The 23,444-nt window shown below is 49.9% G+C and overlaps 1 long non-coding RNA gene across 3 annotated transcripts in view, besides 1 other annotated feature; it reads left to right on the top strand.

Moving 5' to 3' along the window:
• LINC02780 (long intergenic non-protein coding RNA 2780) overlaps nt 1–10,814 on the top strand; it is a 36,615-nt gene extending 25,801 nt beyond the window's left edge. For 2 of the 3 annotated variants that reach the window (NR_186587.1, NR_186588.1), the window contains exons 3-4: nt 7,776–7,928; nt 8,919–10,814. This is a non-coding gene — a long non-coding RNA (long intergenic non-protein coding RNA 2780). Of the gene's footprint in view, nt 1–7,775 lie in introns of all 3 variants that reach the window. The other variant, NR_186585.1, reaches the window with a different exon arrangement.
• Nucleotides 9,181–9,681: an enhancer, noted in NCBI's record as "H3K4me1 hESC enhancer chr1:4071131-4071631 (GRCh37/hg19 assembly coordinates)". NCBI's record gives its function as "activates a minimal SCP1, AML or CMV promoter by ChIP-STARR-seq in primed H9 embryonic stem cells {active_cell/tissue: H9 hESC(primed)}" and the evidence as "EXISTENCE:reporter gene assay evidence [ECO:0000049][PMID:30033119]".
• Nucleotides 10,815–23,444: the final 12,630 nt, after the last annotated feature.

A 23,444-nucleotide genomic window follows, 5' to 3' on the forward strand; every position in this document is an offset into this window, starting at 1 on the left:
CAACTACTTCTGGGTCAGCACCTGAGTGTTCCCTGAGGGCCAAAGTTAGAAAATCCAACCATGCTCAGGCCAGCTGAGACGGGAAACTCCCATGCCCACCTCACAGCACTGTACCCATCACAGCCTCATCTCACTCAGCCTGGCTGCCCCCCACCACCTGTCCAAACAGCCTCCCTGCCACCACCCCAGACCCCGGGTCGTACTGCCACAGCCTCCCTCTCCCTTCCAACATGAACACCCTGAGAAGCACGGGCTGGCACCTCCAGGGCAGCTACATTGCAAAAGCGCTTGACCACAAAAGCCCACGTTCACCGAAGTGTTACATGACCCGCTCAGCAGAAAGCTGGTCCTCACCCATGTCATGTATGCAGCCCCCAGGACATGCGTCTGGGGGATGTCGGGGCCTCCTTGTGCAGTAGGTAGTTCCAGGTTGTGCTGCGTGAGGAAGGGGTGCCCCTGGGGGCAGGGTGAGGAAAGGTGACACCTGAGAGGCAACTGCTCTGTGGCCTCGAGCTCGCTGCTGGATGTGGGGAGTCGGCCATGGGGACCAGTGCCTCTGGACTCCAGGCCAGGCCATGGGCACTGGGGCACAGCTTCCTTTTCCATGACAAGGACCAGTTCCCTTGGAGCATGGCTAGCCCTGGCCTCTCTGACCGTGCCACTGCTCATCCGATCCAGCAGGGTCACTCTGTGTGATCGCTGTGGTAGGAGCAAGGGGACTCAGCTGAAACCAAAAATTCCTCCTAGGCTGAGACGTTTGGTTACTGTGGTGGGCAGAATAATGGCCCCCTAAGTTGTCTGCGTCCCAATTCCCAGAGCCAGTGGATATGTCACCTGGCAGGGCAGAGGGGGACTAAGGTCGTAGATGGAGTTTAGGTTGCTCATGAACTGAACTGAAAATAAGGAGGTGGCCCTGGATTATCTGGGTGGCCCAGAGTCATCACAAAAGTCCTCACATGGGGAAGAGGAGGCAGGAGAGGAGGTGAGAGAAATGCTGTGCTGGCCTGACTGCGGATGGAGGAAGGGCCGAGCCGGGGGATGAGAGTGGCTGCTGGAAGCTGCAAACGGCGAGGAACAGATCCCCCCAGGGCCCGCAGAGGGAGCGCAGCCCTGCAGACCCTTGCTTATAGGCGAGGGGGCCCTGTTTCAGACTTCTGACCTCCAGAGCTACGAGGCAATACTTTCATGTTGTTTTAAGATGCTAAATTTCCAGTGATTTGTTGCAGCAGCAGTAGGAAACTACATTAGAGCGTTCCTTTGCGTCTCAGCCGGGCATGGTGGCTCAAGCCTGTAATCCCAGCACTTTGGGAGCCTGAGGTGGGTGGATCACTTGAGGCCAGGAGTTTGAGAACAGCCTGACCAATATGGTGAAACCACGTCTCTATCAAAAGTACAAAAATTAGCTGGGCGTGGTGGCATGTATCGGTAGTCCTAGCTACTTGGGAGGCTGAGGCAGGAGAATTGCTTGAACCTGGGAGCCTGGGAGGCAGAGGTTGTAGTGAGCCGAGATTATGCCACTGCACTCCAACCTGGGTGACAGAGCAAGACTCTGTCTAAAAAAAAAAAAGAGTTCCTTTTGTCTTTTGAAGTTGCCACATTAAGGAATGAAACAACACTGAAGTTTGTTATGGTCCATAAAAAAAAAAAAAGTCTGGCAGGCATGGTGGCTTACGCCTACAATCCCAGCACTTTGGGAGGCCAAGGCAGGAGGATGGCTTGAGTCCAGGAGTTTGAGACCAGCCTGGGCAATGGAGTGAGACCTTATTTCTACAAGAAAAAGTCTTTGGGAGGCCGAGTTGGGTGGATCACTTCAGGCCAGGAGTTCAAGACTAGCCTGCCCAACATGGCAAAACTCCATCCCTACTAAAAGTACAAAAAAATTAGCCAGGCATGGTGGCACACACCTGTAATCCCAGCTACTCGGGAGGCTGAGGCATGAGAATCGTTTAAATCTCAGAGGCTGAGCCTGTAGCGAGCCAAGATGGCTCCACTGTACTCCAGCCTGGGCGACACAGCAAGACTCCCTCTCAAAAAAAAAAAAAAAGTCTTAAGAAGTTTATAATTACAAACATCTGCTATTCTATTTATCCTTCCATCAGCAGGTAATAGCAACGCTATTGATAGCAGGCCAGGCCAGGAGGCTGGAACCAGGCCGCGGAATTGCGTTGTACCTGGGCTGAGCCTGGGTGTGGGTCGTTCCCCTTGCTGGGCCTCAGTTTCCTCATCTGTGCAAGGCTGGGAGTGAGGCTGGTCCATCCCTGCTTCAGCCTCTCAGGAGACTTGTCGTCTGAAGTCACTGGGACTCCACGCTCTGTCTGAGTGTCTTGGGGGACACGGAATCACTGCAGGCTCCTGAGGGCGGGCAGCAGGGGCTCCAAGCCCAGCCCTCGGATGGGCAGCCAAGCACCTTCTGCACTGGCCGCACACGGACTTCGCTGTTTAACCTCGTGCTCCTCTCAGATGAAATCCTTGCTCCAATGGGGCCTGCCTGCTCCGTGTGCCTGGAATGTTCCACGTCCCTCCCTGCCCCCTCTGCCTTAGGTCTTATCTGCCCCGTGCCTGCCCCGTCTTAGTGCCAGCTCAATTCCCTCATCTTCCACAGTGCCAGCCACTGAGTTCTGCTTTCCTGAACCTCACGCTCTCTGGCTGCCCCATATCCAGCTGCTAATCACGATAGGGATGTAGCAAGGCAGTACACGATGTTCCGGAATCTTCCCCTTCTCACCTTCAAAAGGAAAAGGGAGGTGAGGAGGTCTTCTCAGAAGGAGGAGGAGGCTTCCCAGCAAAGCCTGAAGAACAAGGGTGTGTTGAGGCCGAAGACGGGGTGCAGGCAGGATGGGCTGCTCCTATGCCTTGAATGTCTGGGGCTAAGGGGCCAGTGTCTGGGGCTCATGCTCTGCCCTGAAGCCACCAGAGGCAGAGCCCAGGCCACATGACCTTGCGTCTTGGGAGCCTGTGTACTGCGAGTCCCTCAGGGAAATAGGAAGGGCACCGGGTTTCCTGTCTCAGGCCAGGGGCACTGCACAGGCTGGGAGCGGTGGGCTCACGGCAGGCACTGGGCGCTAGCTCACTTGTTCACCTTGGAGCATTCACGGTGGGCTCTTCCACTGAACACACAGCAGCCTGCGGGAACTGGAGCAGCAGCCTCCTTCCTTTCCAGGGGACAGAAACCCAGGCACAGAGGGGCTAAATCAGCCACTCCAAGTCACACAGCTAACAAGTGCCAGAGTGGAGACTAAAACCTCAGTTGCTGCCAATGCCGGTGTCCTTAGTTTCTGCTGGGCATCTTTCTCTGTTTTGGACACAAGGGGCTCTGTGCGTCGCGGAAGGTTGGTCGGGAGCAACACAAGTTCCTCCCTGTGTGTGTGCAGGGCAGACAGACACATCCCCTGCCAGCCAGGACCCCGGGGAACAGGTCCTAGAAGAGCTGCCACATACCACAATGGAGGAGAGAGGGGAGCACGCTTCCCTCTGCAATGTATTTGCAGAATTAAACATTTGAATAGGTGTGGATAATTCACATTACAGAGAGACCTGCTGCACACGAACAGGTAGGGTGACTGCTGAGTGGCAGTCCTTTTCGATAGGGTTTGGGTTACAGCAACAGGAGGAGACCATTTCAGAGGAAGAGCAAGAGGAGTCCAGGCTGGGCATGAGGGAGGGGGATGTAGAAGGCAGGGCAAAGGCCTCACCTGCCCAGCTCAGCTGGGGCTGTCTGCATCCCCTGGAGGTCTTGGTAACGCAGGGGTGAGGGCCATGCCGGTAGCCGGGAGCTGTCTCCTGTGCTGTGGCCAAGTGGACCATGTGGAAATGCAACAGGAAGTCCCAGGCATCCCATCATTTTTCTCCACCTTGTTGGAGCAGCTCCTCTGAAGGGAGCCCCAGAGCCCTGTGCTGATGGGTCACTCGCTGCCTTCTGCAATTTCTTTTTCTTTTTCTTTTTCTTTTTTTTTTTGAGATGGAGCCTCGCTCTGTCGCCCAGGCTGGAGTGCAGTGGCGCGATCTCAGCTCACTGCAAGCTCCGCCTCCCGGGTTCACGCCATTCTCCTGCCTCAGCCTCCCGAGTAGCTGGGACTACAGGCGCCCGCCACCACGCCCGGCTAATTTTTTTGTATTTTTAGTAGAGACAGAGTTTCACTGTGTTAGCCAGGCTGGTCTCGATCTCCTTACCTTGTGATCCACCTGCCTCGGCCTCCCAAAGTGCTGGGATTACAGGAGTGAGCCACCGCTCCTGGCCTGCCATCTGCAATTTCTCCTGTTTTCTGCAATGACGGGAGGCTGGAGGCAGTGCCCCTCTAGAGCCCACAACCCCACAGCCCCTGGGCCGGGAGCTCACAGGGAAGTCTATACTTCTTCCAACTCCTGCTGGGGCCAAAGAGAGGGTCTTGGGCTACAGGGCTGCCCCATCTGTGCTGACTCTGGGGCCACCTCTGGTCCCTGGGTAGGGTGTGGGTACTGAGCAGAGCTTCACAGACCCAGTGATTCAGCCAGGGCTTGCCCGCTTGCAAGACCCCCACTTCAAAATGGAATTGGAAAGGAGGGTGTAACTAATTAGTGCCGTTGGGAGTTCCTGAAGGGCTCTGGGGGTGGCCCTCCAGGCAGGGCTGGACTCATGGGTCCAGGCGATGGCCTCAGGACTCTCTCTCCTGGACAGTCCCTCGCCTGGCTCTGTGGGCCTTTGCCTGGCCTCTCTCGCTGTGGCCTGATGCTTCCCTGCAGCTTCCAGCTCCTGTTCCTCGTCATCTTCAAGAAGGGCCCTGCCTGGCTCTGCCTGGGTCCCTGATGCACTCATTATCTACAGCTGCTCACAGGTTACCTGGTTTAGAGCAACAGACATTGATGGTCTCTCATGGTTTCTGAGCTCTAGAATCTAGGAGGGACTTAGCTGGGGGTTCTGCCTCAGGGTTTCTCACGAGGTTGCCATCAAGCTGTTAGCCAAGGCTGCCTCGTCTGAAGGTTCGACTGGGGCCAGAGGGGCTGCTTCCAGGCCCACTCACTTGCTGTCGGCTGGGCCCAGGATGCAGCTCCTTGCCTGATGGCCTCTCTGTAAGGCTGCTTTACAGCATGACTGCTTGCTGTCCCCATAATTTGAGAGTGAGGAGAGAAAGGGGTGGGGAGAGAGAGACAGAAAAAGGGTAGTGAGACAGGCAGAGAGAGACAGAGACAGAGAGATGGGGAGACAGAAAGAGACAGAGAAGCAGAGACAGACAGAAAAAGGGAAGTGTGAGAGACAGAGAGAGACAGATACAGAAGGACAGAAAAAGGGAAGTGAGAGAGACAGAGAGACAGAGAGACAGAGAAAAAAAGGGAAGTGAGAGAGACAGAGAGAGACAAACAGAAAAAGGGAAGTAGAGAGAGACAGAGACAGAGGAAAAAAGGGAAGTGAGAGGCCGGGTGCAGTGGCTCACGCCTATAATCCCAGCACTTTGGGAGGCTGAGGTGGGTGGATCACAAGGTCAGGAGATCGAGACCATCCTGGCTAACACGGTGAGACCCCATCTCTACTAAAAATACAAAAAATTAGCCAGGCGTGGTGGCGGGCGCCTGTAGTCCCAGCTACTCGGGAGGCTGAGGCAGGAGAATGGCGTGAACCTGGGAGGCGGAGCTTGCAGTGAGCCGAGATCGTGCCACTGCACTCCAGCTTGGGTGACAGAGCTAGACTCTGTCTCAAAAAAAAAAAAAAAAAAAAAAGGGAAGTGGGAGACAGAGAGAGACCAAGAGAAAAAGGGAAGTAGAGACAGACAGAGACAGAGAAAAAAAGGGAAGTGGGAGACAGAGAGAGACAAAGAGAAAAAGGGAAGTGAGAGAGACAGAGACAGAGGAGACAGAGAGAGATAGAAAAAGGGAAGTGAGAGACAGACAGAGAAAAAGATACAGAGACAGAAAAAGGGAAGTGAGAGAGACAGAGAGAGACAAAAAGAGAGAAAAAGGAAGAGAAAGACAGAGAGACAAGAGGGAGAGACAGAAATAGGGAGGTGAGGGAGACAGAGACATAAAAAGAGGATGAGACAGAGAGAGAAAAAAAGAGGAAGAGGAGAGTGACAGAGATAGATACAAAGAAGGAAACCACAGTCTTTTTATAACCTAATCTCAGAGGTGACGTCACCCTTTTGCCAGATGATCACACAGACCAGTCCTGATGCCATGGGGAAGGAACTGGGCAGGAGGTGTGAATACCACGAGGTGGGGTCACTGAGCATCACCTTGGAGGCTGGCCACCCACATGCCCAAGCTGGACCTGTCCCTGTTTCCAGCCCCAGTGGCTCCCCTGTGCCTGCAAAGTGGAGGTCACATGACTAGTACCCCTCACCTTGGATCACATGAAGAGAGGCCTGGCAGTTCTCCCCAGCGTCTGACTGCGGGTGATGGCGTGACAGACTCTTATCCGATTGCTGTCATTGAGTGTGACTGGAGGGAACATTCTCTGTTCCCGTTTCTATTTGCTAAGATATTGTTGCCCGTGCGTTCTCTCTGTTGTTAGTGTTGAGTTTCTCAGGCTTAGCTTGGAAACTGTAGCCCCGTCTAACTTCTCGTGTAGGATACTGACGTGCCTCCCTTAACGCTGCAATAAAGAAAGCTGTGCTTGGAAACGTCACCGCTAATGAAGGCATCTTCCAAGATCCTGGACTCCAGAGAGTCTGGAAAAGGTCACTTTTGTCTTAAAAGTGAGCTGTAATTCTGATAAGTTGTCTTCATAATGTGTTGAAGTGGCAATAATATTTGAACCAACATCTTTGCGTAGTTGTCTTACTTCATAATGTGTTGAAGTGACAATAATATTTGAACCAACATCTTTGCGTAGTTGTCTTACTTCATAATGTGTTGAAGTGGCAATAATATTTGAACCAACATCTTCGTTTTCTTAAAGGTATAATATTTGTTATTTTTCTTTATTAAGCCAGAAGAAAGTCATTAGAACATTTTACTTCTTCCCCAAGAATAAAGGAGTAAAAAAGACAGAAAATAATCCTATGATCCTGTTGGATTTTTAAAATTTAAGCAAAGTGACGATCTAATGATTTTTAAATGAACAACAATAATTCTATAAGGAAAGTTGATTTATTCAATTGTAGGAAGCTCATTCCTAAGCTGTTCTATCTGAAGGGTGTGTGGAGACTCCCTGTGGCTAAAATCAGACGGTCCGGGTGGCGCCAGGTGCTTCTCCATGGCTGCAGTTGGCAAATGGCGTTTCCATGCCGGGGAATTCTGGCCAAGCTCTACTGTGTAGAATTTGAGGGATGTGATCAGACAATTGTTTATCTTTTGAAGTGGAGCCCAAACTACCCCTGTTCATAAACAGTTGGTTTCCTGTAGTGTCTCTCTGGAGGTATGGAGACATTTAATCCCACCAGGAATTTTGATTAAATTCCTTGCCTGTACACCGGGTTGTCAACCTCACCAACAGCACCCATGCATCACCAGCCACAACGGTGTCTCTGCTCCCTGGCTTCTACCAAAAGCCCAACAATTGCTTTTGAAAGACAGATGATTATTTGCAGGATATGCAGTCCGTCCATGTCTCTGGGTACCCTGAAGTCTACCTCTGGAGGAAGAAGTCCACGTGTCTAGACCACGGGACCATGCATGTGCAAAGATGGCTCCTCACTGAGCAGTTTCCCGCTGTGCCACTGACGCCTGCGGAGGCCTTTGTAAAAAACAGCTGCAGGCAGGGTGTCCTCCCGCCGTATTTCTCCATGAAAACAGTATTGAGAATTATATTCCTATTTTATCACACAGCATTCCCAGGTCAACTGCTACAGAATTTTCTTTTTCAGGAACGCATATGCTGCCTCCTTTCTGATAGGGAGACCCACCCACCTGTTCACCTCTCTGCATGTGGTCTGCGAGCGGGCTTGGAGCCACATCTGAAGCCTCACCTCTAGGAGCCAGTTTTGTCTCCTCCTCGTCCCTGCTTCTTATCAGTCGTGGTACTTTTCTCTTGGGTCCTGACCCTCCATTTCAGTTGGTGTTTTTCATCTTTGGGAAGCACCCAGGCATGGGGGCAGAAGCTTGGGTTTTAGATTGGGCTGGGCTGGGTTCACATCTCAACTGTGTGGCCTCAAACAGGTGACTTGACTTCTCTGAGCCTAACCATTGCCGGTTTCCATATTTTATATGAAGTGAGCCCTATTTTGCAGGTCAGGGAGCTGGGGCCTAGCTAGGACCCAAAGGATTATTCCAGTTTCTCATAAAACAAGTACATAGCAGTTAATATTTGCCATAGGGTACACAAAAAGATTCATTGATTGCCTTCCTATTTTTAATCTTCAGAGAAAGACGGATGGGATTTCATTAGCTCAGGGTTGAGAACGTTGCCTCTGTGTATTTTTGGAGATGAGCCTTCCGAAGCAACAGGGGCTTATGCTGCCTGAGAACTGGGGTGTCAACCAGCGTTCACTCCCAGACTTACCAGACAGTAGAGCCTCTCCCATAAAAGGCACATCGGAACCCACTTCGGACAATGCTGCTGTGGGTTATGGGTCAGAACTTTAAACAAGAGGTAGGGGTGGCCTCATCCCTTGGGGCTGCTGTGTGCGAATGACCTGGAGGAGGCTGTGGTGGGGCCAGGCAGGGCCAGTGGGCTGAGCCACGCATCAGAGTAACCGGCCACACTTTAGAAAGGAGATTCCTGGGCCTCTCCCTGGCTGCTGTGGTTCAGCAGGGGCGGCGGGGACCCAGGAGCTCCCAGGTGATCTGACTCCTGGGGAGCAGGGTTTGTATAAGCCCTGGGCCTGTTGAGGTCAGGGCCTGGTGACCCTAATTCCTTCCAGACCTGGATAGGGGTCTAGTCCAGAACCTGCCAGGGATGGTTTGTCAAATCTGTTACTCTTCTCCCAAGTAAACCACCAGGAACAAGACACTGTTTTAAAAATTGTTACTTATTATCCCCTTTGGCTTATTTTTTTTTCTTTCAAAAGCGGCTGGATGGCAGAGGTGATAAAGCTGGGAAGAGAGGCATCCTGGAAGGGCCCGTGTTATGAAAACCCAGAGTTTCACTCAGATCGACAGCTGCGTGGGGGCCGGCGCTCCCGGCAGTGATTGAGTTACCCTCAGCAGCGGGGTCCCGAGGTCGCAATCCCTGCTGGGGGAGTGATTGATGCCGGACTCCAGGGCCCACCTTGGGTGACCCTGGGATGTCAATGAGTGACCGCTGATTCTGGGCCACTTGGTTCTGGGCCACCCGCATGTCCAGAGACCTCAAGGTGGGCCGACGTCCAACCAGCGAAGCAGAGCAATCCTTTTGGAAGCTTCTCTCCACGGGGGGCTGGCTGCTCCTTCATCACTCCCATCTGAGGGCTTCTGCTTGCAGCCGTCTGTCACGCTGAGCAGCTCTGTGGTGGATTCTGTGCTGCTTGCTCTGTGTCTATTTTGTCAAGATCGCCAGTCTCTCTGGATTCTCTCCTCTGGGTTGGCCCACGCTCACTCATCCGGCTTTGGAAGGACATTTATCCTCTAGCTTCCTCCAGGAGGGGGATTTGTCTTAGAGAGTGGCACTTTCTCTTCCCTCCCCAGCCCCTCGTGCACCTTCTGCAGGGAGGGGAGTCCCCTGGTGCTGAGAGGAGAGGTAGGAGAGCCAGGTAGGGCCTGTGGGAGCCCAGCAGAGGTGCCCTGGCCACCTTGAGTGTCTGAGACTCACGGTCTATTAAAAATGGAAAAACAAACTGGGCACCGTGGCTCCTACCTGTAATTCCAGCACTTTGGGAGGCTGAGGCGGGTGGATCACTTGAGGTCAGGAGTTCAAGACCAGCCTGACCAATGTGGTGAAACCTTGTCTCTACTAAAAATACAAAAGTTAGCTGGGTTTGGTGGTACACACCTGTAATCCCAGCTACTTGGGAGGCAGAGGCAGGAGAATCGCTTGGACCTGGAAGGTGGAAGTTGCAGTGAGCAGAGATTGTGCCACTGCACTCCAGCCTGGGTGACAGAGTGAGACTCTTGTCTCAAAAAAAAAAAACAAACAGAAAAAGAAAAAAGAAAAAAAGGAAAAACAACAAAGTTAGCGCTGAGCAGGGTTTCAGGATTCTAGACCTGGTTTAAAATGCATTGCATGGAATAACCTGTTTAATCTGCAAGTTAACTCTCTGATACAGCGAGTGGTATTATCACAATTTTGACAAGATAAAGGCACAAAACAAGATTTAAGATTTTTTTTTTAAAAAAGGACAGACACCCATTAATTCTAAATAATTAAAGATCAATTCATTATGTACACATACCGTTGACCCCTGAACAGCGTGGGTTTGTACTGGCTGGGTCCGTTTATATGTGGATTTTCCTCTGCCTCTGCCACCCCTGAGACAGCAAGACCAACCCCTCCTCTTCCTTTTCCTCCTCCTCAGGTTCCTCAATGTGAAGACGACAACGATGAAGATCTTTATGGCTGGGTTCAGTTTTGGTGTCTCAACACCCGTAATCTTAGCACTTTGGGAGGCCAAGGTGGATGGATGGCTTGAGCCCAAGAGTTTGAGACCAGCTTGAGCAATGTAGTGAAACCCTATCTCTACAAAAAACTAGCAGGGCGTGTGCCTGTAGTCCCAGTTACTCGGGAGGCTGAGGTGGGAGGACCTGAGCCCAGGGAGATTGAGGCTGCAGTGAGCCCTGATTGCGCCACTGCACTCCAGCCTGGGAGTGCGGTCTCAAAGAAAACCCAGTCTCAAGAAACAAAACAAAACAACCCAAAAAAGATCTTAAGATGATCCACTTCTGCTTAATGATCAGTGAATATTTTTCCTTATGATTTTCTTAATAACATTTTCTTTTCTCTAGCTTACTTTATTGTAAGAATATAGTATATACTTATAAAACAGATAAAATTTGTGTTAACTGACTGTTTATGGTATTGGTAAGGCTTCCGGTCAACAGTAGGCTGTTAGTAATTAAGTTTTGGGGGAGTCAAAAGTGTAAAGCAATACACTTTATGGGGGCAGAGCTCCTAACCCCAGTGCTGTTCAAGGGTCAATCTAATTGAACAGCCTCTAAAAATATCAAGCAATACTTACAAATCCAGGGAGAAAAACATACATCAACAATTGTAGTTGGAGCTTTTAATGATCGAACAGAGAAAACAGATACTGAAGTCTTGATCAATACAATGAGTAAGCTGAAGATATGAGATATGTAGAGAACTTACCATTCATCAGACAGAGGCTATGCCTTTCCCCCATGCACGCACACACCATTTACCAAAATAGGCCAGACACTGAGCCATGAAGGAAGTCTCAATAAAGTTCTAATAATTAATACAAAATAAACTGCATTCTCTAATCACAAATCAATGACATTAAAATTAACAAAACAATTTTTTTTAACAACTCCAATATTTTGGAAAGTAATTAATATATTTATGGATAGCCCTTGGAAATGATCAAGGAAATTAGGAAGTACATAGAGTGTAACACGGTGAAACCCCGTCTCTACTAAAAATACAAAAAAATTAACTGGGCGTGGTGGTGGGCACCTGTAGTCCCAGCTACTCAGGAGACTGAGGCAGGAGAATGGCGTGAACCCAGGAGGTGGAGGTTGCAGTGAGCCGAGATCGCGCCACTGCATTCCAGCTTGGGCAACAGAGCCAGACTCCGTCTCAAAAAAAAAAAAAAAAAAAAAAAAAGAAGTGCATAGAGTGAGTACTCTACTTATGTGAGCACTTCCTCTATGTATACGCAATGTGACCTGCCCAAATCAGTGACATGCCTTCGGGCAAAGCCAAGGTAGCTCTTAAAGGGATATTGAAAGATTATAATGCGTTCATCAGGAAACAACAAATGGGAAAAACAAATGAGCCAGCTATTTAGCACAAGCAGCTGGAAAAAGAGCAAGAGAGCAACACCTATCCAACTCCACTCCCAGAAAACATAAGAAAGGAGCTGAAAAATATAAGAGTAGAAACAGATAGAATGAATAAAACCTACAGAGGATGAACAAAATCAAAATCTGGTTTAAAAAATTTAATATGCTAGACAGACTTCTGGAAAGACCAATAAAAATGGGATCTGGTGAGGGCCTTCTTGCTGCATTATCCCATGGCAGAAGGCAGGAGGGCAAGAGGGGGAATAAATAAGATAATTAATTGGTATTATGCATAGGCATATTTAACAAATTTGATACTTAGATGACATGGATGAATTCCTTTTTTTTTTTTTTTTTGAGGCAGAGTTTCACTCCTGTTACCCAGGCTGGAGTGCAAAATGGCACAATCTCTGCTCACCGCAACCTCCGCCTTCCGGGTTCAAGTGATTCTCCTGCCTCAGCCTCCTGAGTAGCTGGGATTACAGGCATGCACCACCATGCCCAGCTAATTTTGTATTTTTAGTAGAGACAGGGTTTCTCCATGTTGATCAGGCTGGTCTCGAACTCCCAGCCTCAGGTGATCTGCCCACCTTGGCCTCCCAAAGTGCTGGGATTACAGGTGTGAGCTACCGTGCCTGGCCGGACAAATTCTTATAAAAAGCATAAAATGCCAAACTTGTGAAAGACAAGACAGATAACTTGAATAGATGAATGCATGTGAAAGAAGTTAAATGGCAGTCAAAGGCACCAAAAAAATCCAAGTCTGGATAATTGTTTTCGGAGATTTCTATAATATTTTCTAGGAATGGTTAATTTCTATTTTATACAAGATATTTGGAAAATTAGAAAATGAATGGAAACTGTCTGGCTCATTTTGTGAGGCTCATGTAATCTGGATTTCAAAATCAAATAGGGACAACAGGAATTAAAAAATATATAGACCCATTTATTTATAAATGGAGTTTTAAAAATCCTAAGTAAAATATTAGTTAATTTTTTTTAAAATTAGTTAAAAGAATATTAAGAAAAATAAGTGATGAAGTAGAGTTCATCCAGGAATATCTAACAATCTCTCAATATAATTCACTATTGTAATAGATTAAAGAAATATATTTTATCTCAATCAATGCAGAAAAAGCATTTGATAAATCTCAGTATCAATCTTCATCTGTTTTGTGCTCTACAACAGAATACTTGAGATTAGGTAATTTATGACAAACAGAAATGTATTTTCTCACAGTTCTGGACGCTGGAAAGTCTAAGGTCAAGGTGCTGACATCTGGTGAGGGCCTTCTTGCTGCATTGTCCCATGGCAGAAGGCAGGAGGGCAAGAAGGGGATGAACTTGTCCTTTTATAAAAACACGAATCCCACTCAAGAGGGATGAGCACTCATTGCCTAATCACCTCCAAAGGTCCCAGACCTTTTTTTTTTTTTTTTTTTAAAGATGGGGTCTCTCTCTGTCACCCAGGCTGGAGTGCAGTGGCACAATCTTAGATCACTGCAACCTCTGCCTCCTGGGTTCAAGTGATCCTTCCATCTCAGCTTCTGGAGTAGCCGGGACCACAGGTGTGCTCTACCACACCCAGCTAATTTTTTATTGTTTTGGTGAAGATGGGGTTTCACTGTGTTGCCCAGGCTGGTCTCAAACTCTTGAGCTCAGGTGATCTGCCCAACTTGGTTTTCCCAAAGTGCTAAGATTACAGGTGTGAGCCACAATGCCTAACCTGGTCCTACGTCTTAATACTGTGTCCATGACAATTAAATTTCTTCCTTCCTTCCCTTTTTTTTTTTCTTTTTTTGACAGAATCTTGCTCTGTTGCCCAGGCTGGAGTGCAGTGGCATGGTCTTGGCTCACTGCAACCTCCGCCTTCCAGGTTCAAGTGATTTTCCTGCCTCAGCCTCCCGAGTAGCTGGGACTACAGGCATATGCCACCATGCCCGGCTCATTTTTGTATTTTTAGTAGAGACAGGGTTTCTCCATGTTGGCCAGGTTGGTCTCAAACTCCTGACCTCAGGTGATCCGCCCACCTCAGCCTCCCAAAGTGCTGGGATTACAGGTGTGAGCCACTGCGCCCAGCCTGAATTTCAATATGAGTTTTGAAGTGGATAATCATTCAAACCATAGCAGTACTAATCTGTGATAAAACATTTTTTTTAAAAACCGTGAATTCTACCTAACACCATATACACAGCTGGATTCTAGTTAAATTAAAGTCCTAGTAGCAAAAGAAAAAGTTAAAAGAATATACAGGAGAAAAATCTTTGTTACTTATAAGCAGGAATGTCTTAAATAAAAATCTGAAAGCACAAACCATAGGGTAACACATTGACACATTTCATTATGTCAGAGTTAGAGATTTTTGTTAAATGAAAGACAAGATGGACAAAGTTAATGCACAGCTGAACAAATGAGAAAAGATATTTGCAATGTTAATAGTTGATGAGGGATTAACAAGGGACTCCAGCCAATCAAAAAGACAAGGAGAGCAACCGCAGCAGAAGAATGGGCAAGGGATACGGACAGATGACAGAAAGAAAAACCCCAAAGCTAGTATGCATATAAAGAGAAGCTCAAGGTCATTAGTAATCACACACATGAGAACTAGAACACAATGCCACTTTCCAGCTGTTGGACTGGCAAACAGTCCAGCTGTTGGACTGGCAAACAGTTAAAAAGCTGGTTAAGCCAAATGTTGGCCTGGATGGGTTCTGCAGGCAAGTTCATGGTGGCTGATGGAGTGTGGATGCTTCAGCCTTTCCAGAAGGATCTGGGGCTCCTGATGCTATGATCCAGAGGTTACGCTGCTGAGTATACAACCCAGAGGCATTCCATGGGATCTGCCGCGGTCCACGGGTTTGAGGCTGTTCCGTGTGGAGAACGTACGTGGGAGAGCATTGGAGGCAGCCGGGTGCCGGCCATCAGAGAAAGAATGTGCAGGTGAAACGTGGCTGATCATGCTGGAGCCACGTGCAGCCATGGGAACCTGGATCAAATGTGCCCCTGCCACACGGGTGAGACTTCAGAACCTAGTGGATTTTTAGAGAGAAAAAAAGTCAGGAGAAGAATGAGGTATATAATGCAATACCATTTATGCAAACAAAACATACACACAAATAAGACTGCAATGCCTATTTTGTAAGAACATGAAATGCAGAAGCAACTACTCGGAAATCAGAGCAAAACTGTTGCCTCCAGGGCGAGGGGAGGAGGTGAGAGTCAGGGGAGGGGAGGGGTGAGAGTCAGGGGAGGGGAGGGGTGAGGGGCAGGGGAGGGGTGAGAGTCGGGGGAGGGGAGGAGGTGAGAGTTGGGGGAGGGGAGGAGGTGAGAGTTGGGGGAGGGGAGGAGGTGAGAGTTGGGGGAGGGGAGGAGGTGAGAGTTGGGGGAGGGGAGGAGGTGAGAGTCGGGGGGAGGGGAGGAGGTGAGAGTCAGGGTGGGGAGAAACGGAAAGGAATGTGTAGACAACAAAATGACCTGGGAACCTTGCAAAGATCCATGGTGAAAATACGCTACAATAGGATAAATATGTGATTAACTCCACCCTCTTCATCTGTGGTCTCAAAAATAAGCAAGCAAACAAGCAGATAGAAAACGAAAGCAAAAAGAAAAGCTCTGAAACAGAGATATCAAAATGGTGGTAGATTTAATATATTTACATTGAGCAAATATAAGTTTTTAACAAAAAAGATAATTTGAAGGTAATTTCCACATTTCATGTTCCATATTTCCATAGCAATTTATAAGCTAATTATAGGATTTATTTAAAAATAGTAATTCTGAGAGCACTATAGGGGTATGGCCTGAGAGAGGGACACAGATTTTGAATCTCCTCTAAATTCTGACAAAATATCTCCAGGACTATAAATATTCGGAGGCAACATCAACACTTTAACTTTGGAGACCTTTGTAAATGTGAGGCCGGGACCCAGTGGCGCCCTCTGCCTCTGCCCCATTCCCCTCCCAAATCCTGTGTCCCCACATAGGCTGAGACCATGATGTGGGAACCTGGTCTGGGTGGCTTTGAGTACCTCTGTGTGGCAGTGTGGGAGGTTTGGACCAGGAGGAAGCTCTTTCATTGAAGAGCTTCTTCTCATGGCAGTCACCACCCCATAGATGTCGCAGGTCCTGAAACGCTGCTCTTTGTGGAATCTGGATGGGGCATGGGGACCTGGGAAGACCAGTGGCAACGACACAGGACTGGGCGAGTTCTGGGATGGACAGAATACTCTGTCAAGCCTTGAGCCTTAACACAGCCCCACGAGGTCAGTACTATGATGGTTATCATCTTTACTGCACAACTAAGGAAAGGGAAGAAAGGTTAGAAATTTGTCCAGGGACACAGGGCAAAGATATGGACTCAGCAGCATGGTGGCAGTGGCCGCACCGGTAGCCGCGCTATGGTGCCTCTCAGAGGGGAGAGCCATGGCCGAGTTTTAGTTTCCAAACTGGAAGATGGAGGCGTTTAGCAACTTCCTCTGAGGCTTGCACATTGAAGCTTTGTGCTTCCCTTTGCAACAGATCTTGGCTAAAATTCATGTATCCCTGCATGCACCACCACTTGGGCACATATCTGCACACACACACACACAACCACACATGCATGCACGCACACATACACACACATGCACACACATGCACATCACTCAGCTTGGGGATAGTGTTGAGCACAATTCAGGGATCTTGCTTTTTTATTTTTTGTACTAAGATGCCGTAACCTTGACAAATTATTTTATTAAGTTTAGTATATTTGATCAAGCACAACCAAACCCAAGAAGATGAATTATTAAAATGGAGGTTTACCTTCTATCATTTAGGGCTATTGTTCGACAGTCAGAGTGCATCCAAGTCAGGGCTCTGCCAGAAATGAAGCACGGCGGAGCCACCAGTTAGTATTTTTCTTGCAAAGGATACCAGTTCTTCACCATCCCTGCAACAATCTCTCATCTCAGCTTCCTGCCAAGGTTTCAGATCTCAGGGAGACACAGGCTCCTTGGCACGCACTGATAATCACAGAGCCAACTTTGGAAGTCATGGATTTCTGAGCTGGTCTTGCGTAGGGCAGGCATTTGCCTTTGGCTGAGTGGCGTGAAAAATGTTCGTGGGCGAGTGGTGGGCCGAGCGCCGTGTGTGTGAACATACCGTGTCCATGTTCTTCCTGGCTGCATGCTCCACCTCTGGCTAGGATCAGGTTTGCCCTGAGTCAGCAGGAGCCGGAGCATGACACCCGCATGTTTCAGGGATGGCCAACAGCGTCTGTTCCAGTGGATTCGTGGCGACTCCTTGAGCTGAGAAGACCGGGGCACATCCACGTCCACATTCCCCATTGGATGTCAGGCCAAGGGCAGGATTGGGCAGATGGCACCATGCCCTTGTGTGCGAGTCACGGGTGCGGCCAGCACGTGGCCGCCATCCTGCTGTGTCCTGGAGTGCTCCCATTCTTCCCTGCTACAGTACATCCGTGCTTCTCACGAACATTTGCCCACCACTGTCCACCTGGCAAGCCTCTCTGGGAGGGTTTCTGGAAGGATCCTCTCCCCTCCTCACAGTGCGGTTCCTCCCACAAACCGGCCTCATCACCCCCGCTGCCCATCGCCCATGCCCCTCCCAGCTGCCTCCTTGAGCTCCTGGCGCCCATCGTGAGCCTTCTGTTCACACGCCCTCCTTCCCGTTCCTCTCCCGCCCCATCTCACACTCCCACTCCTCCCCTTGCTCGCTCAGCCTAGATCTACTCAGCCCTCGTGCATCGCAGTCCATCCGTGAGTGAGTCTATGTTTTCTAAATGATTTGCTTGTGAAAGTCCTGGTTTCCTGGTTTTCCAGCCCTGATCTCTTCCTCTCAGGGCTCAGCCCTCGTGCATCGCAGTCCATCTGTGAGTGAGTCTATGTTTTCTAAATGACTTGCTGTGAAAGTCCTGGTTTCCTGGTTTCCTGGTTTTCCAGCCCTGATCGCTTCATCTCAGTGCTTTACCCAGGTCTTGGTGCTGAGGATTCCCACCGGGATTCCTTGTCCTTGATGCGACAGACACCTCTCCTTGGAGAGCCTGATTCCTGGGCGGAGGTGCCTGCCTGGCCCCTCCACTGGGCGTCTCATAGGAACCCCAGACTCCGCAAGACTCAACCTGCTTTTGGTCCCTTCAATCTGTCCCGCCCCCGGCCTTCCAGTCTCTGTAAATGGCACCACATCCTACTCCTCTGCTGGCGCCCACACGCTAGGACACGCCCTCAGGTCCTCTCTGTCTCTCCCCAACACATCAAGCCCCCTCTCTGTGACCTTCACACTATGTCTGTGGTCTACAGGTTAGGTCTAGAGGGTGGGGTCTGCTTGTTCCCTGTCCTGTCCCTGTGGCCCCAGTGTTGCCTCCTGACCATGCGCCTGTGTTGGCTGAATGAGTGAGTCCAGCCTCTTCTCTCCAGCACCAACCCCCACTCCTTGCAGGAATCTCCTATGTGGTCACTGACAGTGGATCCAGAAGCCCCGTCTCTGCCTAGTGTCCTTCCTGGCTTCTTGTTGCTTGGCAGGTGAAATCCCAGCTGGTCACCTCACCTGGTGTGAGCCCAGCTGCGCCTTCTTCCCCATACCCTGTGCCTGGTGTCTGTCTTTTAGTATGCCCCGTGCTCCCCTGCCTCAGAACTTTCCTGGGGCTCTCTCCTCTGTTCATGGCTCTGGCTGTGGCTCTCTCCTTGGCTCTGTCTGTGGCCAGCTCTTCCTCCCCAGGCTGAGCTTATCATCACCTGCTCAGAAGGCTCCCTGAGCTCTCTCTGGAAGTGGCACCTCCCTCCTCCCCCTCCACGGTCATTCTCCATCACCTCCCCACCAGTTCCCTTCATGAGCACTTAGGGCCTGACCTATCTGTGTAGTGGACAAGTGCCATCTCCCTCACTTGAGGTAAGCCCCATTGAGTCAGGGACTGGATCGGGGCAGCTTGCACGCTCAGTGCATGGGGCCAGCAGACATCAGCTGGATGGGCGAGGTTGGGACTGGGCCTCCGGTTCTCTGTAAGGCACGTGGTGGACATGCAGAGGATGACGGCCCATGACTAATAGGGATCTGACTGAGATAGAAGCTGCTGCCCCTGCCCTGCCCTTGTGGACAGTGCAAGGGCAGAGAGCAAATTGTGGGTTGAGGAATTATGCACTGAACCTGTGCACGTTCTAGTACAGAAGGATCTCGCTCCCAGGGCTGAGCTCTCTGAGGCTAGCTCTCTGACTCTGTTATCTTGGCCATGGCCTCCCTGCCTGCCACTGAGGATATCCAGCTGATGTCTGCTGGGGGCGAGGGAGGCAGAGGATGGTGGACTCAGGCGTCATCTGGAGCCTGTGAGCAGAGCCCCCCAAGATGACAGACACTCTCTTTCCTGGCCTTGGCTGGACTCCAGCTTTAGAAGGCTGGGGAGGGCCACTGTAGACATGGCCGGGGTCCTCCTAGCAACCCTTGCAGCCTGGGAGCAGGGGGTCGAGGGAGGCAGGGGATGGAGTGAGAGTGAGGGTGGCAGAATTTCACCCTGACCTGCAGTCAGGAAGACTGATGAGAGAAAATGCGTGGACAAGGGTCATGCCTAGCCCCGGGCAGCCCGGAAGCCATCAGGAGAGTTCTGGCACAGACAGAGACTGGGAGAAGTAAGCTGCATGGGCAGACGGGGGCACGGGGCGACCTGTGCAGGGCGGGGACCACGCTTGGCACCCATCTGCTCCTGCCTCTCCCCACTCAGCCTGGAGCTGTCCCGAGATGCTTGCAGCTTTGATCTGAGTGGAGACAGATGCTGCCCATCGGGGACACAGACCCATCCCCGTTGTCCGTTAGTGCCAGTCCCTGGGCTCTGGGTGGGCAATGCCAAGTGAAGTTGAAGCTGGCTTGCCCCCTTTTATTTCTCTCTTTCTTAACTCAGGAAAATGTATTTCAAGGGCTGCATCCCTGCAAGGAAACTGGAAATGTGGGAGATGAGCAGTCTGTGTGTGTTCGCCAGCAAGTCCCTTGAGACCGAGCTGACCTCCCCAGGGCAGAGCCAGAGAGCCCGCGGGGGCCTTGCCTGGCCCACATCACAGAGTGGACCTAGCTGCCCAGTGAGGAAATGGGTGGCAGGGGCTCAGGGTCAGCCTGCCTGTGTGCTAGCTCTCCCCCAGGCCCCAGAGGAGGAGTCTCCTTCTTGTTGTCTTGCCTGAGATGGAAGCTGTATGAGTCAGGCTTCTCTGGAGATGAACCAATTGGATATAGATATGGAGAAAGAGAGGGAGAGTGCTAGAGAGATTACAAGGAATTGGCTCATGTAATTGTGGGGCTGGCAAGTCCAAAAAGTGGTACTCAGCAGGCTGGAGACCCAGGGATGAATTGATGAGACTGCAGGGAGAACGCCTCCTCTTTGCGGGAGCCTCCATCTTTACCATCACCTGATTGGACAAGGCCCACTCACACTCCAGAGTCTGCTGGTTTAAATGTTAATCACATCTTGGCCAGGTACAGTGGCACATAATTCCAGCGCTTTGGGAAGCTGAGGCAGGCAGATTGCCTGAGTCCAGGAGTTCAAGACCAGCCTGGGCAATGTGGCAAAACCCTATCTCCAGAAACAAAAGAAGTTAATCACATCTGAAGAGTCCTTTCATAGCAACGTTGAGACTACTGTTTAACCAAATGTTTGGGTACCATGGCTTAGCCAAGCTAACACATAAATTAACCATCACAGGATCACACCCCACCAAGACCAAGAATGTGGGAGAATCCTGGGGCTCCCCTAGGGTGGTGGGAGACACGCTATCCTGTGTCCTGAGAGGAAGGCACCCTCCTCCCTTCTGGGGTCTCAGCCACACTCGGGGCTGGTTTGCTTTCACCATCACAGTGTCTGCTTCGAGGGCGGATCTTCAAGGACAGGGATTAGGATGGATGCGGGGTGGTGAAGGTGCTGGGCTGCAGAGGCAGGGGGTTGAGAAGACAGTGCGGAGTGTGAACTTCCATAGGTCTGGCCCCTTCCTGGGCCTCAGTTTCCTTTGTTGAACAAAAGCATCATGGCACAACTTTCTTTTGCATCTTGTAAGTAGGGCCAGGGGAGCTGCTGAACAGCCTGCAATGTCCAGGACAATGAAGAGGTTTTTGGCCCCAAACGTCAGTGGCGCTGAGCAGAGCAACCCTGATTTAGCGACTCCTTGTTGGTCCTGGCTCCCAGTGTGTTGGGGACGTGATGCGGGTGACTCTGCTGTGGGCTCACAGGCTCTGCTGGTTCCATGGACAGAAATAAAGTGGAACTTCATGCTGCTGGAACTCGGGCGGTTGTGCTGCGTTGCACCCTCCTCCTTTGCGAGCGGTGACCTTGAAGGCTGGCTTGGGGCCGTCGTGAAGGCAATGGGAGCCGGGTTGCTGAGGTGGAGCCCCGGGGAGCCTGCCAGAAGGAAGCAGAGGAGAATTTGGCCCTTAGGCTGCTGAGAGACTGAGGAGGAAATGGGGAGAAATGGAAAGGCACCCATAGGACTCATCAGGGAAGTGGAGGAGAAGGAAAGTCACTTTGGAGAGGGCACATGGTGGGCATTTGAACAGGAACTCGTGTTGTTGGAAACTTTCTCCAACAGCTCAGCCTGAACTGGTCCAGGGTCTCCATGAACCTCCTCTCCCCAGCTCCTGGCCTCCAGGCTCCTGTGTGGGCCCCTGAGCCCACCTGCCACTGTGCCCTGCAGCTCCCGTGACCCAGGGGCTGGCATGGAGGAGCAGGTGGGCCCTCCTAGCACCTGCCACACACTGGCTCCTGTAGCTTGAAATATTAATACTCTATTGACCTGAGTTTCTTTTGGCATCTCAAATTAATTTCATTTTATTTGGACCATGATGGAGTTTAACATAAGATAAAAGCAAACCTTTGCCAACCTCAGACAGTTTAATAACCAAAATATTTGATTAAAAATTTTAATAGTTTGGAAGGATGGAACATGTAGGATCGGGACAAATTAAGCCTCTGCCATTCACATTGATGTACATTTTTTCTGCCTGGAATGGGGAAATCTATTGTCTTACTACTTTTCCAAGGGAACCAGAAAAAAAATTAAACTCTTTAAAACAAGGTTTTCTTACAAAATGAACTTCCATTCTGACAGCATGCCTCTTCTTTATTTACTGGGAGTCACAGGTGTGCAGGGAGGTGAGTCCTCAGCCTCCACCGCCCTGCGCGGGATCTGTGTGTTGGTCTCCTGGGGCTGCTGTAACAGATGCCACAAACCAAGGGGCTTAAAGCAACAGGAATGTATTCTCTCACTGTTTCAGAAGGCAGAGGTCCAAAGTCCAGGCGTCCTCAGGGCCATGTTCCCTTGGAGGCTCCGGAGAGAGTCCTTCCTTGTCCCCTGGAGTTTCTGGTGGCTGTGGCCACATTGCCCCAACCTCTGTCTCTGTCTTCATGGCCTTCTGCCCCTTGTGTGTCTCCTCTGTGTTTCCTGGAAGGACACTCATCCATGGACTTAGGGCCCACCTGGGCAATCCAAAATAACCTCATCTTGAGATCCTTCACTTAATTACATCCACAAAATAAGGCCACATTTTCCAAATAAGGTCATAGCCACAAGTACCAGGAATTAGGACTTAGACATATCTTTTTGGGGCCATTATATTTCAACCCATTAAAAGCCTCATATCAACCTGGGAGGAGGGTGATCATTGAAGAAGCTGATTGTCTCTGGCCCAATGAGAAGGAAGCATGACCAGATTTGGGTTCCTGTGCTGGCGCTGTGGTGGAAAGAGCACCCCTGATCCTGGCTGGTGGGGAGGGCAGGGGGTGGTATGGACCGGATGTTTATGTTCCCCCAAAATTCATATTTGGGAGCCATAACCCCCAGTGTGATGCTATTAGAAGGTGGGGCTGGTGATTAGGAGGTGATTAAGGTTAGATGAGGTCATGAAGATGGGCCCCCATGATGGGATTAGTGCCCTTATAAGAAGAGACACAAGAGAACTTGTTTACTGCTCCCCTACCCCTGCCCAATGCCGTGCAAAGACACAGTGAGAAGGTGGCTGTCTGCAAGCCAAGAGAGAGCCCTGACCAGGAACTGACTGTGAGGAAGAAATGTTTAAGCAGCTAGTTTCTCGTATTTTGTTATGACGGTCCAAACTAAGATAGTGAGGTCAGCTTTCAGGAAGTCAGCACAGATGTCTTGATCACTCTCCAATTCTCCTTATGTCTATCTGTCTATCTATCTATCTATCTATCTATCTATCTATCTATCTATCTATCATCTGTCATCTCTATCATCTATCCTTTCATCAATCTGTCATATATTTATCTTCTATCTATTATCTATCATCTGTCTCTCTATCACCTATCTATCTTCTACCTGTTATCTATCATCTATCTATCAACTTCTATCTATATATCATCTATATATCTACTATCTATCATCTGTCTATCATCTACCTTTCTATCTTTTATCATCTGTCTACCTATTATCTGTCATCTATCTACCTATTATCTATCTATCATCTATCTGTCTACCTGTCATGTGTTTATTATCTATCTAGCTATCATCTCTATCTAGCTATCATCTATCTATCTATCTATCTATCTATCTATCTATCTATCTATCTATCTATCCATCCATCCATCCATTCATCCCTCTGTCTCAAGGGCTTGGAATGTATGTATCTTTGAACCAGAAGTGTTCCTCTTCTAGGAATTTATTTATCCTAAGGGG

This window comes from Homo sapiens, chromosome 1, assembly GCF_000001405.40.
Source record: "Homo sapiens chromosome 1, GRCh38.p14 Primary Assembly".
In the NCBI taxonomy this organism is placed as follows: Eukaryota; Metazoa; Chordata; class Mammalia; order Primates; family Hominidae; genus Homo; species Homo sapiens.